At 52.2% G+C, this 12053-nt stretch overlaps 1 protein-coding gene across 3 annotated transcripts, besides 2 other annotated features; it reads left to right on the forward strand.

The window, feature by feature from the left end:
* Positions 2509-3010: an enhancer, noted in NCBI's record as "H3K4me1 hESC enhancer chr3:129261557-129262058 (GRCh37/hg19 assembly coordinates)". NCBI's record gives its function as "activates a minimal SCP1, AML or CMV promoter by ChIP-STARR-seq in naive H9 embryonic stem cells {active_cell/tissue: H9 hESC(naive)}" and the evidence as "EXISTENCE:reporter gene assay evidence [ECO:0000049][PMID:30033119]".
* On the forward strand, positions 2970-11262 carry H1-8 (H1.8 linker histone). Of its 3 annotated transcripts, NM_153833.3 has the most exons (5): positions 2970-3101; positions 7186-7475; positions 8796-9159; positions 10540-10604; positions 10902-11262. In NM_153833.3, exons 1-5 carry the CDS (start codon positions 3014-3016, stop codon positions 11133-11135), a joined length of 1041 nt encoding a protein of 346 aa, NP_722575.1. In that variant the 5' UTR covers positions 2970-3013; the 3' UTR covers positions 11136-11262. The 3 variants fall into 3 exon arrangements, with proteins under 3 accessions (NP_722575.1, NP_001295191.1, XP_016861222.1); NM_001308262.2 differs by lacking the exons at positions 2970-3101; positions 7186-7475 and adding an exon at positions 8180-8271; XM_017005733.2 differs by lacking the exons at positions 2970-3101; positions 7186-7475 and adding an exon at positions 8180-8271 and having other exon boundaries at positions 8800-9159.
* Positions 6401-6695: a silencer, noted in NCBI's record as "tiled region #2951; K562 Repressive non-DNase unmatched - State 23:Low". NCBI's record gives its function as "represses a minimal TATA promoter and a strong SV40 promoter by Sharpr-MPRA in K562 cells {active_cell/tissue: K562}" and the evidence as "EXISTENCE:reporter gene assay evidence [ECO:0000049][PMID:27701403]".
* Positions 11263-12053: the final 791 nt, after the last annotated feature.

Here is a 12053-nt window from a genome sequence, read left to right on the forward strand (position 1 = left end):
TAACATGGCAATGGGACTGGCATACCATCATTTCTGCTATTGGTCAAAGCAAGTCATAAGATTTAAGGAATCCACTCAGACTTAAGAAATGTGGGAGGGGCCAGGTGCAGTGGCTCATGCCTGTAATCCCTACACTTTGGGAGGCCAGGTGGGAGGTCACTTGAGGCCAGGAGTTCAAGACCAGCCTGGGCAACATGGCAAGACTCCATTTCTAATATATATACATACATATATATACACATATATATATGTATGTGTGTGTGTATATATATATATATATATATATATATATATATATATATATATATATATATATATTTTTTTTTTAATTAGCCAGGCATAGTGGCATGTGCCTGAGTCCTAGCCACTTGGAAGACTGAAGTAGGAGATCACTTGAGCCCAGAAGGTCGAGGCTGCAGTGAGCTATGATTGCACCACTGCACTCCAGCCTGGGCGACAGAGTGGAACCCTGTCTCAAAAAACAAACAAACAAACAAGAAATGTGAGAGGGGTTGCAAAGTTACATTGCAAATGGGCAGGAGTGAAAAATTGGGGGCAGTTCTGCATCAATTCAACACACACAGAGGAGACAAAAGGGGCCCGATATCAGCACATGGCCCATTCCAGGAGCCGCAGTGTGGGTGAATTGTGGGATTCAAGCGGGGAGGAGGCTCCTTAAGTCAGACTGAAGAGCATGAACTTTCACCCACGGGCAGTGGGGAGCCATGCAGGATGCTAAGCGGGGGAGTGAAATCTGACTTCACTTTAGAACACTTTGATGACCACAGCCTCCCCGAGTCCAGATCTCTGGTGATGGAGAGCCCTCTGGGAAAATTCCACAATAAAGAGACTACCTAGAGAAGAATGTATGCTGTTTAAAACCCATCCCTTCCTCAGAGGTAACCACTTCTACTATTACCTTGGTATGAATCCATTCAGAACTTTTTTCTACTGCTTGTGACTGGTAAGATAAAAAAACAAAAAAATTTTTTAAAAATTAAAAAGAACTATTGTGCCTTCACACACACACACACACACACACACACACACGCAAGTTTTGTCTTCTCAGTAGTTGGGGTGTACTCTCCGATACATTCTGGTTCACTCCTTTTCACTACTGCATACTACTCCACTGTGCGAATAGGCCACAGTTTACTTGTTCACTCTCCACCTGATGGGCATTTATGTTGTTTTGAATTTCTGCTAAGATTGAAATAAACATCTTTGCACGTAAGTGTATATGTTTGTCTCAGATCTACGCCTAGAGTGGAATAGGTGGGTTGTGGAGTGAGTCCCTCCTTAGTTGTATGAAACATCGCTGAATTGCTTTCTAAGGCGGCTACCAGCTCACTCCCCACCCCCCAGCAGCTATACTTTCCTTGAATCCTAGTCACTCACTATTGATAGACACTTACATCTTTGTCATTTTGCTGAGTGTGAAATACAGCCTCATTCTTGTTTGTTTTCTTTTCTTTCCCTCCCCCTTTTTTTTGGGGGGGGCAGGGTCTTACTCTGTAGCCCAGGCTGGAGTGCAGGGGTGTGATCACAGCTCCCTGCAGCCTTGACCTCCCAGGCTCAAGCAATCCTCCTGCCTCGGCCTCCCAGGTAGCTGGGACTACAGGTGCACACCACCATGCCCAGCTAATTTTTGTATTTTTTGGTAGAGACAGGATTTCACTTTTTTGCCTAGGCTGGTCTTGAACTCCTGGGCTCAAGCGATCCTCCTGCCTCAGCCTCCCGAAGTTCTGGGATTACAGGTATGAGCCACCATGCCTGGCCTCTCATCCTTGTTTTAATCCATCTTGTCATTTTATATTATATTATATTATTTTATTTTATTTTTATTTACTTATTTTTGAGACACAGTTTCGCTCTTGTTGCCCAGGCTGGAGTGCAATGGCTCGATCCTGGTTCACTGCAGTCTCCAGCTCCCAGGTTCAAGTGATTCTCCTGCCTCAGCCTCCCAAGTAGCTGGGACTACAGGTGCACACCACCACGCCCAGCTAATTTTGTATTTTTAGTAGAGATGAAGTTTTACCATGTTGGCCAGGCTGGTCTCAAACTCCTGACCTCAGGTGATCCGCCCACCTCAGCCTCCCAAAGTGCTAGGATTACAGGCCTGAGCCACCGCACCAGCCCACCTTGTCATTTTAGATGGCTGCAGAATATTCTGCAGAAAGGGTGTGATTTAGCCAGGCCTTGGGTGTTTGCTTGGAAAGTTTTTTTTTTTTGTCTGTCAATTTGATGGGAAAAAGTAGTATTTCACCATTGTTTCAATTTGAATTTTCTCAAATGCCAAGGAAGTTGAGTGTCCATTTTCCTGTTTCTGTTCCTCACCCTTTAGGCTGGTGAATTGCCTGTTTATATTCTTTGTCCATTGTCCCAGTGGATGTTGTCCTTATCTATGAAGACTTTTGTGAAGCATCCTCCGTTATTGATTTATTTCTTTAAAAACAAAACCAAAGGAGGGCATAGGCCCAGAGAGCCTGGCTGGCCTCAGAAGGGGCTACTCTGATTGAGGGGCATGTGCTCTGGGCAAAAGTAGCAGTTGGGCTGCCTCCAACTGCTACTTTTTGAGAAATTGAGGCCAGCAGTGGCGTGGGGCAGCCCATTGCCCACCTGGTAGGATTAGAGGGCCGCCTCAGCGGCCTCCCTGACAACACAGGTGACCCCAATTCCTCATCAGCATCTCCAGCCCCTGGTGGGCAGAGGGCACAGGCGAGATCAAGCATCTCAGCTCCCAACATTGCACCATGGGGACTGAGACCCAGAGAAGTCAAGCGACACCCCCAAGCTTACACAGGAGTGGGTAGTCCAGCTGGGGCTCCCTACAGAAGGCAGGATGCTGTGCCCCATTCCACACCTCCAGCCCCAGTCAGCAGCTTGGAGCACTCCCAGCCCAATCAGGGCTGATTGGAGTGGTGGGGGTGGGCTGCTGGTATATAAGCCTAGTGGGCAGGCCCAGCAGCCTCACACCCGGGTGAGGGGTCTGCTGGCTGCACCTGTCGGTCTCATGGCTCCTGGGAGCGTCACCAGCGACATCTCACCCTCCTCGACTTCCACAGCAGGATCATCCAGGTCTCCTGAATCTGAAAAGCCAGGTGAGCAAGAGGAGGCAGCTCCTCCCTCATCCCTGCGAGCCCACTCCCTGGGTTGCCTTTGATGCTCCACCCCTGCTTCTCGTTCTTTCCCAGCCTGGCCCCAGCACCTACCCAGCACCCACCCAGCACTCACCCAGCACTCACCCAGCACCCACCCAGCACCAAGCTGCTGAGCTCAACTGCCTTTTGGCTGAAGAGCTGATCTACAGGTAGCAAGGCCAGGTAGGGCCTGGGGGCTGGGGCCGGCCTCGCTCAGGGAAGAGCCACAGGGCCTTCCAGCTGGAGCCCGTTTCCTGCTGGGACCGTAGCCCGTAGCCAGGCTGCAGCTGTGGGCAGCTAGTTGGAGGGACTGGGGCAGGAGCATTTTATGCAGGGCTAGGCATTCCGATTTTCAACCAAAAAACACCTCAGGGTTTATCTGGACATGAGGGTGCACCGAGGCAAACCAGGCCCAGTTCACTCCCTCGAGGACCTCCCGGTCTGATGGGGAAGCCTGGCCCATGGCTTGTTGCTGTTTGCTAATGTGATGTGTGCTTCAGTGGCGGTAATCCAGAGCTGGAGGAGCCCAGAGGAGTCCTCTAACCCACTCTGGGAGGTCAGGGAAAGCTTCCTAGAAGAGGTGACCCTGAAGGATGGGTGTGCCTCAGCCGGGGGAAGTGTTCTATTTGCCAAGACACCTAGGGAGATAGGGAGGGGGTCCAGGTGCCGAGAAGTAAAAGGGCAGAGTTAACTGGGAAGTCAGAGGTGTCCAAACCAAGGTGCATTTTGAGCCTTGAAGGATGAGTGAGAGCAGCCTGCATGACCGGGAGGAGAGAGGCAGCCCAGGCAGAGGAAACGGCATGGGCTAAGGCCCAGAGGCCAGCGCACCAGCAGCTTGTCTCGGAAGCTGCATCTTCCTTCTGGGAAGGAGGGAAGTGCTGGGGCAGTGCTAGGGGAGCAGTGGGAGGGCCTCCAAGGCGGTCTTCAGTTAGGTCAACTTTTATCTTGAACAGGGAGCCATGGACGGTTTCAAGCAGGGAGGTGAGGGGTGTGAGATACAGCGAGGAGAATGCATGCGGTGGGGAAGAGGCAGTGGGGAGGAGGCTGGGGCTGGGGAGTTGGAGAGGAGAGGCCAGAATATGGAGAGAAAAGCCTATGGGGAGGCCTCGAGTGGGTGTGGTGAGGAGGAAAGGGCCCAGAATGCCCCCAGTTCTTGCTTGGATGTTGGGTAGGTATGGGCAGTGGGGGCATGGGGCATTCCTGGAAGAGAGAGGAGGGGCAGATTTGGGGGGCTGAGCTCTGTTCTGGACATCCTGGTATACAGCAGGCATGGAATAGCTGCCGAATGAGGGGCTGGGATGAGAGGGAACAGACCTGAGGGAGGACTCCTGGGGGTGGCTCTCTGGGACAGACATGGTCTGGGGGAAGCAGAGGAGGGGTTGGAGCTGCTCGTGAAGTCAGGCCAAGCGAAGACCCTTGGGAAGCCCTGTAGCACTGCAGCTGGGAGGGCTCAGACCTCCTTAGAGGCCCCCGTCCCCACTGTACGGATGGGAAGACTGAGGCCTAGAGGGAAGAATGAAACTCCCGAGAACCCGGGAGTGACCCAGGACTACACCAGCTCAACGCCTTTGGCCCCCAAATGAATATTCCCACACTGGGCTCGTCATGGCCAGGACCCAACAGGGGTCGAAGTGATTAGGTCTCTTTATAATTTTGCTCTAGATCTAGAGTTTCATGGTTTTTTTTTTCTATTGAAAAAAAATTTTAATATAGCCAATTTTTTTTTTTTTTTTGAGACAGGGTCTTGCTTTGTCACCCAGGCTGGAGTGCAGTGGTGTGATCTCAGCTCACTGCAGTCTCCACTTCCCAGGCTCAAGCAATCTTCCCACCTCAGCCTCCCAAGTAGCTAGGCCTATAGGCACACACCACCACACTCTGCTCATTTTTAAAGATTTTCGTAGAGTCGAGGTCTCACGATATTGCCCAGAATTTAAGTCTTTAAATTCTGCAGATTGATCAGAAATCAACATTTCCATTCACCACATTTAAATCCGGTTTCATATTTAAATCCCTTTTATGCATTTCATGGTGACTGACAACTTCTCATGCTTCCCCCACCCTTGATCCCACTTCATTTGCAACTATTTTATAACACCTTATTGAGAAATAATTCCCATACAATACAATTCACCCTTTAAAGTGTACAATGGCTTTTGGTATACTCAGAGTTGTGTATCCATCTCTATAATCAATTTTAGAATATTTTCATCACTTCAAGAAAACCAGTACCCATTAGCAGTCACTCTCCACCCCCACTCCCCAGCCCTGGCAACCACCAATCTGCTTTCTGCATCTATGGACTTCTTATTCTGGACATTTCATATAAATGGAATCAGACAGTATGTGGCTTTTTCTGACTGCCTTTTTTCACTTTGCATGTTTCAGGGCTCCTCCATGTCGTAGCCAGGGCTTCACTCCTTTGTATGGCTGGATAATATTCCACGGGATGGGTAGCGACCACATTTTGTTCATCCATCTGTCAATCATTCATCATGGATGTTTGGGCTGGTTCCATCTTTGGGCCGACATGAATAGTGCTGCTATGAACATTCATGTGTACATTTTTGTGTGGACATGCGTTTTCATTTCCCTCAGGTATATACCGAAGAGTGGAATTTTTTGGTAACTTTTTATTATGAAAACTTTCAGGGCCGAGCATGGTGGCTCATGCTTGTAATCCTAGCACTTTGGGAGACTGAGGTGGGAAGATAGCTTGAACTCAGGAGTTTGAGACTAAACTGAGCAATGTAGTGAGACCTGTGTCAAATAACAATAACAATAATAATAATAATAATAATAATAATAATAATAATGATAATAATACAAACATTAGCCAGGCGTGGTGGTGTGTGCCTGTGGTCCCAGCTACTTCGGAGACTGAGGCAAGAGGATCACTTGAGCTGGAGAGGTCAAGGCTGCAGTGAGCCATGATTGTGGCACTGCACTCCAGCTTGGGTGACAGATTGAGACCCTGTCTCCATAAAACAAAACAAAAAACTTTCAAATGGATACAAAAGTAGACTACCAAATGGTCTGTAACTCCCTTCCACTGTACCCGTCACCCAGCTCCAACAGTCACCATCTTGTGGACACTCTTGTTTCATCTGCTGGGTTATTTCAAAGCAAATGCTGGATTTATGTATCATTTCATCTGTAAATATCTTTTATAATATTTACCTTTAACAGATAAGAGCCTTTTAAAAAGCAATTGTAATACCATTAGCACACTTGAAACAATATTATCCCTAATATCCGATATTTCCTTCCAGTGCTCACATTTATCTGTTGCCTTTCTTTTTCCAGTTGGATTGTTCAAATCCTGCTCTGGGAATGAGCATTTGGTTGAGAGGTTTCCTAAGGACCTTTAGTCCATAGGGTGCCCCTCCCACTTTTTCTTTCCCCCCTTATTTGTGGAAGAAACCCGGCTGTGTGCCCTGGAGAGTCTCTCAGTCTGGGTGCCTCTGAGAATGTGCACATAGCCCCCGGAGGTCCTGTAAACCCACAGTTACGAAATTCACCCAATTTAGATTGTTTTTCTAAAGGAATACTCCATTCTTTAAAAAGAGAGATTTGGCTGGGCACGGTGGCTCAAGCCTGTAATCCCAGCACTTTGGGAGGCCGAGGCGGGTGGGTCATGAGGTCAGGAGTTCAAGACCAGCCTGGCCAACATGGTGAAACCTTGTCTCTACTAAAAATACAAAAATCAGCCAGGTATGGTGGCAGCGCCTGTAATCCCAGCTACTTGGGAGGCTGAGGCAGGAGAACTGCTTGAACCCAGGAGGTGGAGGTTGCAGTGAGCTGAGATCACGCCATTGCACTCCAGCCTGGGGACATAGAGAGACAGTGTCTCAAAGAAAAAAAGAGAGAGAGACTCAGTGAGCCTTGAGGGGAGACCATCCGGGAGCTCCCATGCCAGCGGTCAGTGTCTTGGGGAGAGGGGGGCATCTGATCCTTGCTGGACCCTCACCCACCCCCCACGGGCCAGCTGATGCCTGCCACTGAGTTGTGACTGGGCCCCGGGTGATGGCCTGCCATCTCTCCTCAGGCCCGAGCCACGGCGGTGTCCCACCAGGAGGCCCGAGCCACAGCAGCCTCCCGGTGGGACGCCGCCACCCCCCGGTGCTACGCATGGTGCTGGAGGCGCTGCAGGCTGGGGAGCAGCGCCGGGGCACGTCGGTGGCAGCTATCAAGCTCTACATCCTGCACAAGTACCCAACAGTGGACGTCCTCCGCTTCAAGTACCTGCTGAAGCAGGCGCTGGCCACTGGCATGCGCCGTGGCCTCCTCGCCAGGCCCCTCAACTCCAAAGCCAGGGGGGCCACTGGCAGCTTCAAAGTAAGCGCCCCTGAGGGAGGACATAGCCCAGGGTTGGAGCAATGGTCCTGGCCTCTGTGAGTGCTGCGGCCTCTACTGGAAGGCCTTTCCCCTCCGGTCCCCTGTCCTTGTTCCTCCTGTGGTCTCAGCCGAGATGCCCTCTCCTCTAGGAAGGCAGGTAGTGTGCCCTCTCTGAGCTCCCACTGCAAGAGTCACCCTGTTGGTGTCCAGGACAGGTGAACTGTTGCATGTTTGGGATCCCAGGGCCTGTGTCAGCTGTGCTAACTTCTGGGTCCTGGGCACGTAGCCCCTTCCTGGAATTCCTCACCACAGCAAAGGGTTTTCCCTCTGCTGGCACCTCCCTGAGCAGCCATGTCCTCCGTTTCAAAGGGGAGAGTTTCATCTTTATAAGGAGGCTCCAAAAGGGGACCCATGCCAGGTCACTCAGAGCTGAGGCAGGTCTGGGACAAAACTGCACCCCAACATCAGGACTGTCATCAGCCACCAGGAATACCTCAGGGACCAGACCCACGGCCTGACTTGTCATTGCTGGGTCCCCTGCATCTTGCCTAACTTCCTGCATGTAGCAGCTGCCATGACAGTTGCCATGGAATGCTGGGGAACATTCTCAGCCTACCCCAAGCCGGTCCCTGTGGTTACCTGGTGACAGATCACAGAAAGTCCCACCCTGGTAGAACTCCTGGGCGTGGGTCAGAGCCTGGACTTGCGTCACAGCAGGACCAGGCGGCTAAGCAGGGAGAAGAGCCAGAGGGGCGTCAGGTGTCTGATGCGGTGTGCTGGCAGTTGAGGGGTGAAGGTAGTTTCTAGTCTTGGTGATGGGGAGCCCTGAGGGTTGGGGGACAGGAAAGAAACAGCTTGCCAGGAGCCCTCCCTTCCCTGCCGCTCACAGCCTTGGTGATTGTCCTGCTGTAAAGATGAGAAGACGTGGCTGTGGTACACGGCTGGAGGAGGGCGGAGGAAGCTGTGAGCCCAGAGCCATCTGACCTCAGCCCATGTTCTGCTGAGCGTCAAGGGGCGAGGTGGTGGGGGCATGGGGCATGAGGCAGGGCAGCGCTTCAGGGTAGTGGGGGAGGAGGAGTCCAGAGGCACAATCTGTGGGAAAGTGGCAGGCCTAGGGCAGGTGGTTGAGAGATCCTGAGATCCTAGAATCATAGTAGACAGTGCCTCCAAGGACAGTGGCTTCGTGCCTTCTCCCTGCCTCTCACTGCCTGTGGAGCCCCCCTGTTTGGAACGAGGCCTCCCATTCGGAGTCTTACGGGGGGTGGGGGGCGTGAGGCACCTGAGGCTCTGCTTTCAGCCCCACCCCGTGTCCTTCTCCAGTTAGTTCCCAAGCACAAGAAGAAAATCCAGCCCAGGAAGATGGCCCCCGCGACGGCTCCCAGGAGAGCGGGTGAGGCCAAGGGGAAGGGCCCCAAGAAACCAAGTGAGGCCAAGGAGGACCCTCCCAACGTGGGCAAGGTGAAAAAGGCAGCCAAGAGGCCAGCAAAGGTGCAGAAGCCTCCTCCCAAGCCAGGCGCAGCCACAGAGAAGGCTCGCAAGCAAGGCGGCGCGGCCAAGGACACCAGGGCACAGTCGGGAGAGGCTAGGAAGGTGCCCCCCAAGCCAGACAAGGCCATGCGGGCACCTTCCAGTGCTGGTGGGCTCAGCAGGAAGGCAAAGGCCAAAGGCAGCAGGAGCAGCCAAGGTAGTTGTGTGACTTGTAGGGGGTGGTGTGGGGATGGGGGTCTTGACAGCCACTGGAGCGGGGGCGGGGAGCCAGCTCTGGAGAGGGGTTTCCTTATCTAGTGCATGTGTCCTGAGTGCTGGGCTTGACCTGGAGAGAGAGAACTCATGGTAGCTGGTTGGGGGAAGGAGGCAGACATTTCAAGGGTTATGAAGGGGGAAGCAGAGACCAGGAGACTGACTCATTCTTGAGGCAGTGGAGGAAGGTGTCTCAAGCAGGGGAAGGGCCTGTGTAAAGGCCTGGAGGCATAAAGAAGGTGGAGTTTTTAGGCCGGGCATGGTGGCTCATGCCTGTAAGCCTAACACTTTGGGAGGCCAAGGCGGGCGGATCCCTTGAGGTCAGGAGTTTGAGACCAACCTGGTCAACATGGTGAACCCCCGTCTCTGCTAAAAATACAAAAATTAGCTGGGCATGGTGGTGTACACCTATAATCCCAGGTACTTGGGTGGCTGAGGCAGGAAAATCACTTGAACCCAGGAGGCAGATGTTACAGTGAGCCGAGATCGCACCACTGTACTCCAGCGTGGGTGACAGAGTGACACTCAGTCTCAAAACAAAACACAAAAAGAAGGTGGAGTATTTGAGGAACTGCATGTAATTCAGTCTACCTACAGTTTTGGCAAGGAGAAGCTGTGAAGGGCAGCTGGAATCAGGGCTTTATCTGGAGGACAATGCAGAGCTGTGGAAGGATTCTGACAGGAAGCAGCTAGGGCTAGAGTTATTATTTTTTTTCCTCTCTCTCTTTTAGAGACAGGCTCTTGCTCTGTCACACAGGTGAGTGCTGAGCCCAGGAATTAGAGACCAATCTGGGCAAGATACTAGGATCCCATCTCTGCAAAAAATAAAAATATTAGCTGGCATGGTGTTGCATACCTGTTGCCCCAGCTACTTGGGAGGCTGAGGCAGGAGGATCGCTTGAGCCTGGGAGGTCAAGGCTGCAGTAAACTGAGATCGCCCCACCACACTCCAGCACAGTGACAGAGCGAGACCCTGTCTTAAAAGTAAAAAAAAGTATCCTGGCTGCCAGGTGGAAGACAAACTAAAGGCTCGAGCTGACAGGCCCGTTAGACGTTGGCTTTGGTGGGCTTGGAGCACTAGTGCTTTGCCTAGAGCAAGTGCTTCCGTTAACCCTCCAGCCACTCTGTGAGGGGCATGCTATTATTCCCAGTCTTCAAACTAGGTCACTGAGGCTCAGAGTGGCTAAATGATTTGCCCCATGTCACATAACTGAGTGAAGACCTAGGACCCAGGAGGAATGGGGGTTCTAGAGCCCCTGAAACTTCCTGCCCCACCAGCAGTTCCTCCTTCTTCCCCTATAAAACCTCCTCCATCAAATTCCAGGAGATGCTGAGGCCTACAGGAAAACCAAAGCTGAGAGTAAGAGTTCAAAACCCACGGCCAGCAAGGTAGGTGCCTGCATGAATTTCCTGGCCTGGCTGCCTGCCCTGAACAGGCCAGAGCTTGGGCATCCCACACTCAGCCCCCGGAAGGGTCATCCAGGGATGGGGCTCAATTTCTTTTCCTACAAAGCACAGTCCACCACCTTCTCTCTGGTCCCCTGGCACCCTGGGGGTGTTGCCATCCCCATCTTACAGATAAGAGACTAAGGCTTAGAAGGGCGATGTTGTGTACCCAGAGCCACCCAGAGCTGGGATTTCAGCCCTTCCCAGCTGTCTCTTTGCTCCTGGTTTGCTTTCGTATAGGTCAAGAATGGTGCTGCTTCCCCGACCAAAAAGAAGGTGGTGGCCAAGGCCAAGGCCCCTAAAGCTGGGCAGGGGCCAAACACCAAGGCTGCTGCTCCTGCTAAGGGCAGTGGGTCCAAGGTGGTACCTGCACATTTGTCCAGGAAGACAGAGGCCCCCAAGGGCCCTAGAAAGGCTGGGCTGCCCATCAAGGCCTCATCATCCAAAGTGTCCAGCCAGAGGGCTGAAGCTTAGGGCCAGAGGCAGGGGCGGAGAGAGACCGAGCCTCTGCCCTAGTTTTTATTCTTCAACTAACCACTGCTCTATTTATTTCATTGTAAGCTATTTATCAATAAAGACTTTTGTTTCTTTTTCCTCACAATTGGTGTGGGTAGAGGCTGAGGTTCAAGGATTTGGCCATTCGGTCCTTCATGAACATCCGCTGAGCACCTGCTGTTTACCTGGCCAATGCTGGGGCTCAGATAGGAGGTCCTGCCTCAGGGATACAGACTGTGTGCTATATGGGGCTGCAGCACAGATATCGGGATGCAAAGGGGCTGATGGAGGGAGATTAACCTGGCCCTGCGATCAGGCTTCCAGGATGAGATGGCTTTTGATCCTAAAGGATGGGTAGCTGTTGTCAGGCAGATGAGGCAGAGGATGCCATCTGAGGGGTGGGATGAAAGGAGGGGATCTGTTTAGAAAGAACCCTCTGGCAGTGGAAAGGAAGGATTAGAGTAGCTGAGAAGACAGGGAGACCTTTCAGCCACTGGTTCCCGAGTGCTCCTGGGCCAGGCACTGCGACAGGCTGACAGGTGTCCTACTCTGCAGCCAGCGCCTGTGCTCTGAAGAAGAGGTGGGGCTGGGCCTCCAGCGGGGTGGGTAGGGCTGGCTGCTAGTTTAGACAGGGTTGGACGGGCTGTCTGAGCAAGGATCTCTGTCTGGAGGGGGTACCATTTCAGCAGAAGGAAGAGTGAATGCAAAGGCCCTGGGGTGGGAACATGCTCCTCACGCTGGGAGCTGCAGGAAGGTCTGTGTGGCTAGAGCCCAGTAAAGAGGAGCACAGGGATGGGAGACGAGGTCCAAGGTGCTTTAAAAACATCTGCGGCACTCCTCACACGGAGAGACAGGCTCTGTGTCCCTACCTCTTGACTCTGGGCTCCATGATTACTT

Source organism: Homo sapiens, chromosome 3 (assembly GCF_000001405.40).
Source record: "Homo sapiens chromosome 3, GRCh38.p14 Primary Assembly".
NCBI lineage: Eukaryota > Metazoa > Chordata > Mammalia > Primates > Hominidae > Homo > Homo sapiens.

What these genes read in the sequence shown, in the direction of transcription:
- H1-8 (NM_153833.3), top strand. Translation starts at nt 3,014, where the DNA reads ATGGCTCCTGGGAGCGTCACCAGCGACATCTCACCCTCCTCGACTTCC. An exon ending in TCCTGAATCTGAAAAGCCAG is followed by an intron (nt 3,102 to 7,185) that starts GTGAGCAAGAGG and finishes ATCTCTCCTCAG; the next exon opens with GCCCGAGCCACGGCGGTGTC. An exon ending in CAAAACCCACGGCCAGCAAG is followed by an intron (nt 10,605 to 10,901) that starts GTAGGTGCCTGC and finishes GCTTTCGTATAG; the next exon opens with GTCAAGAATGGTGCTGCTTC.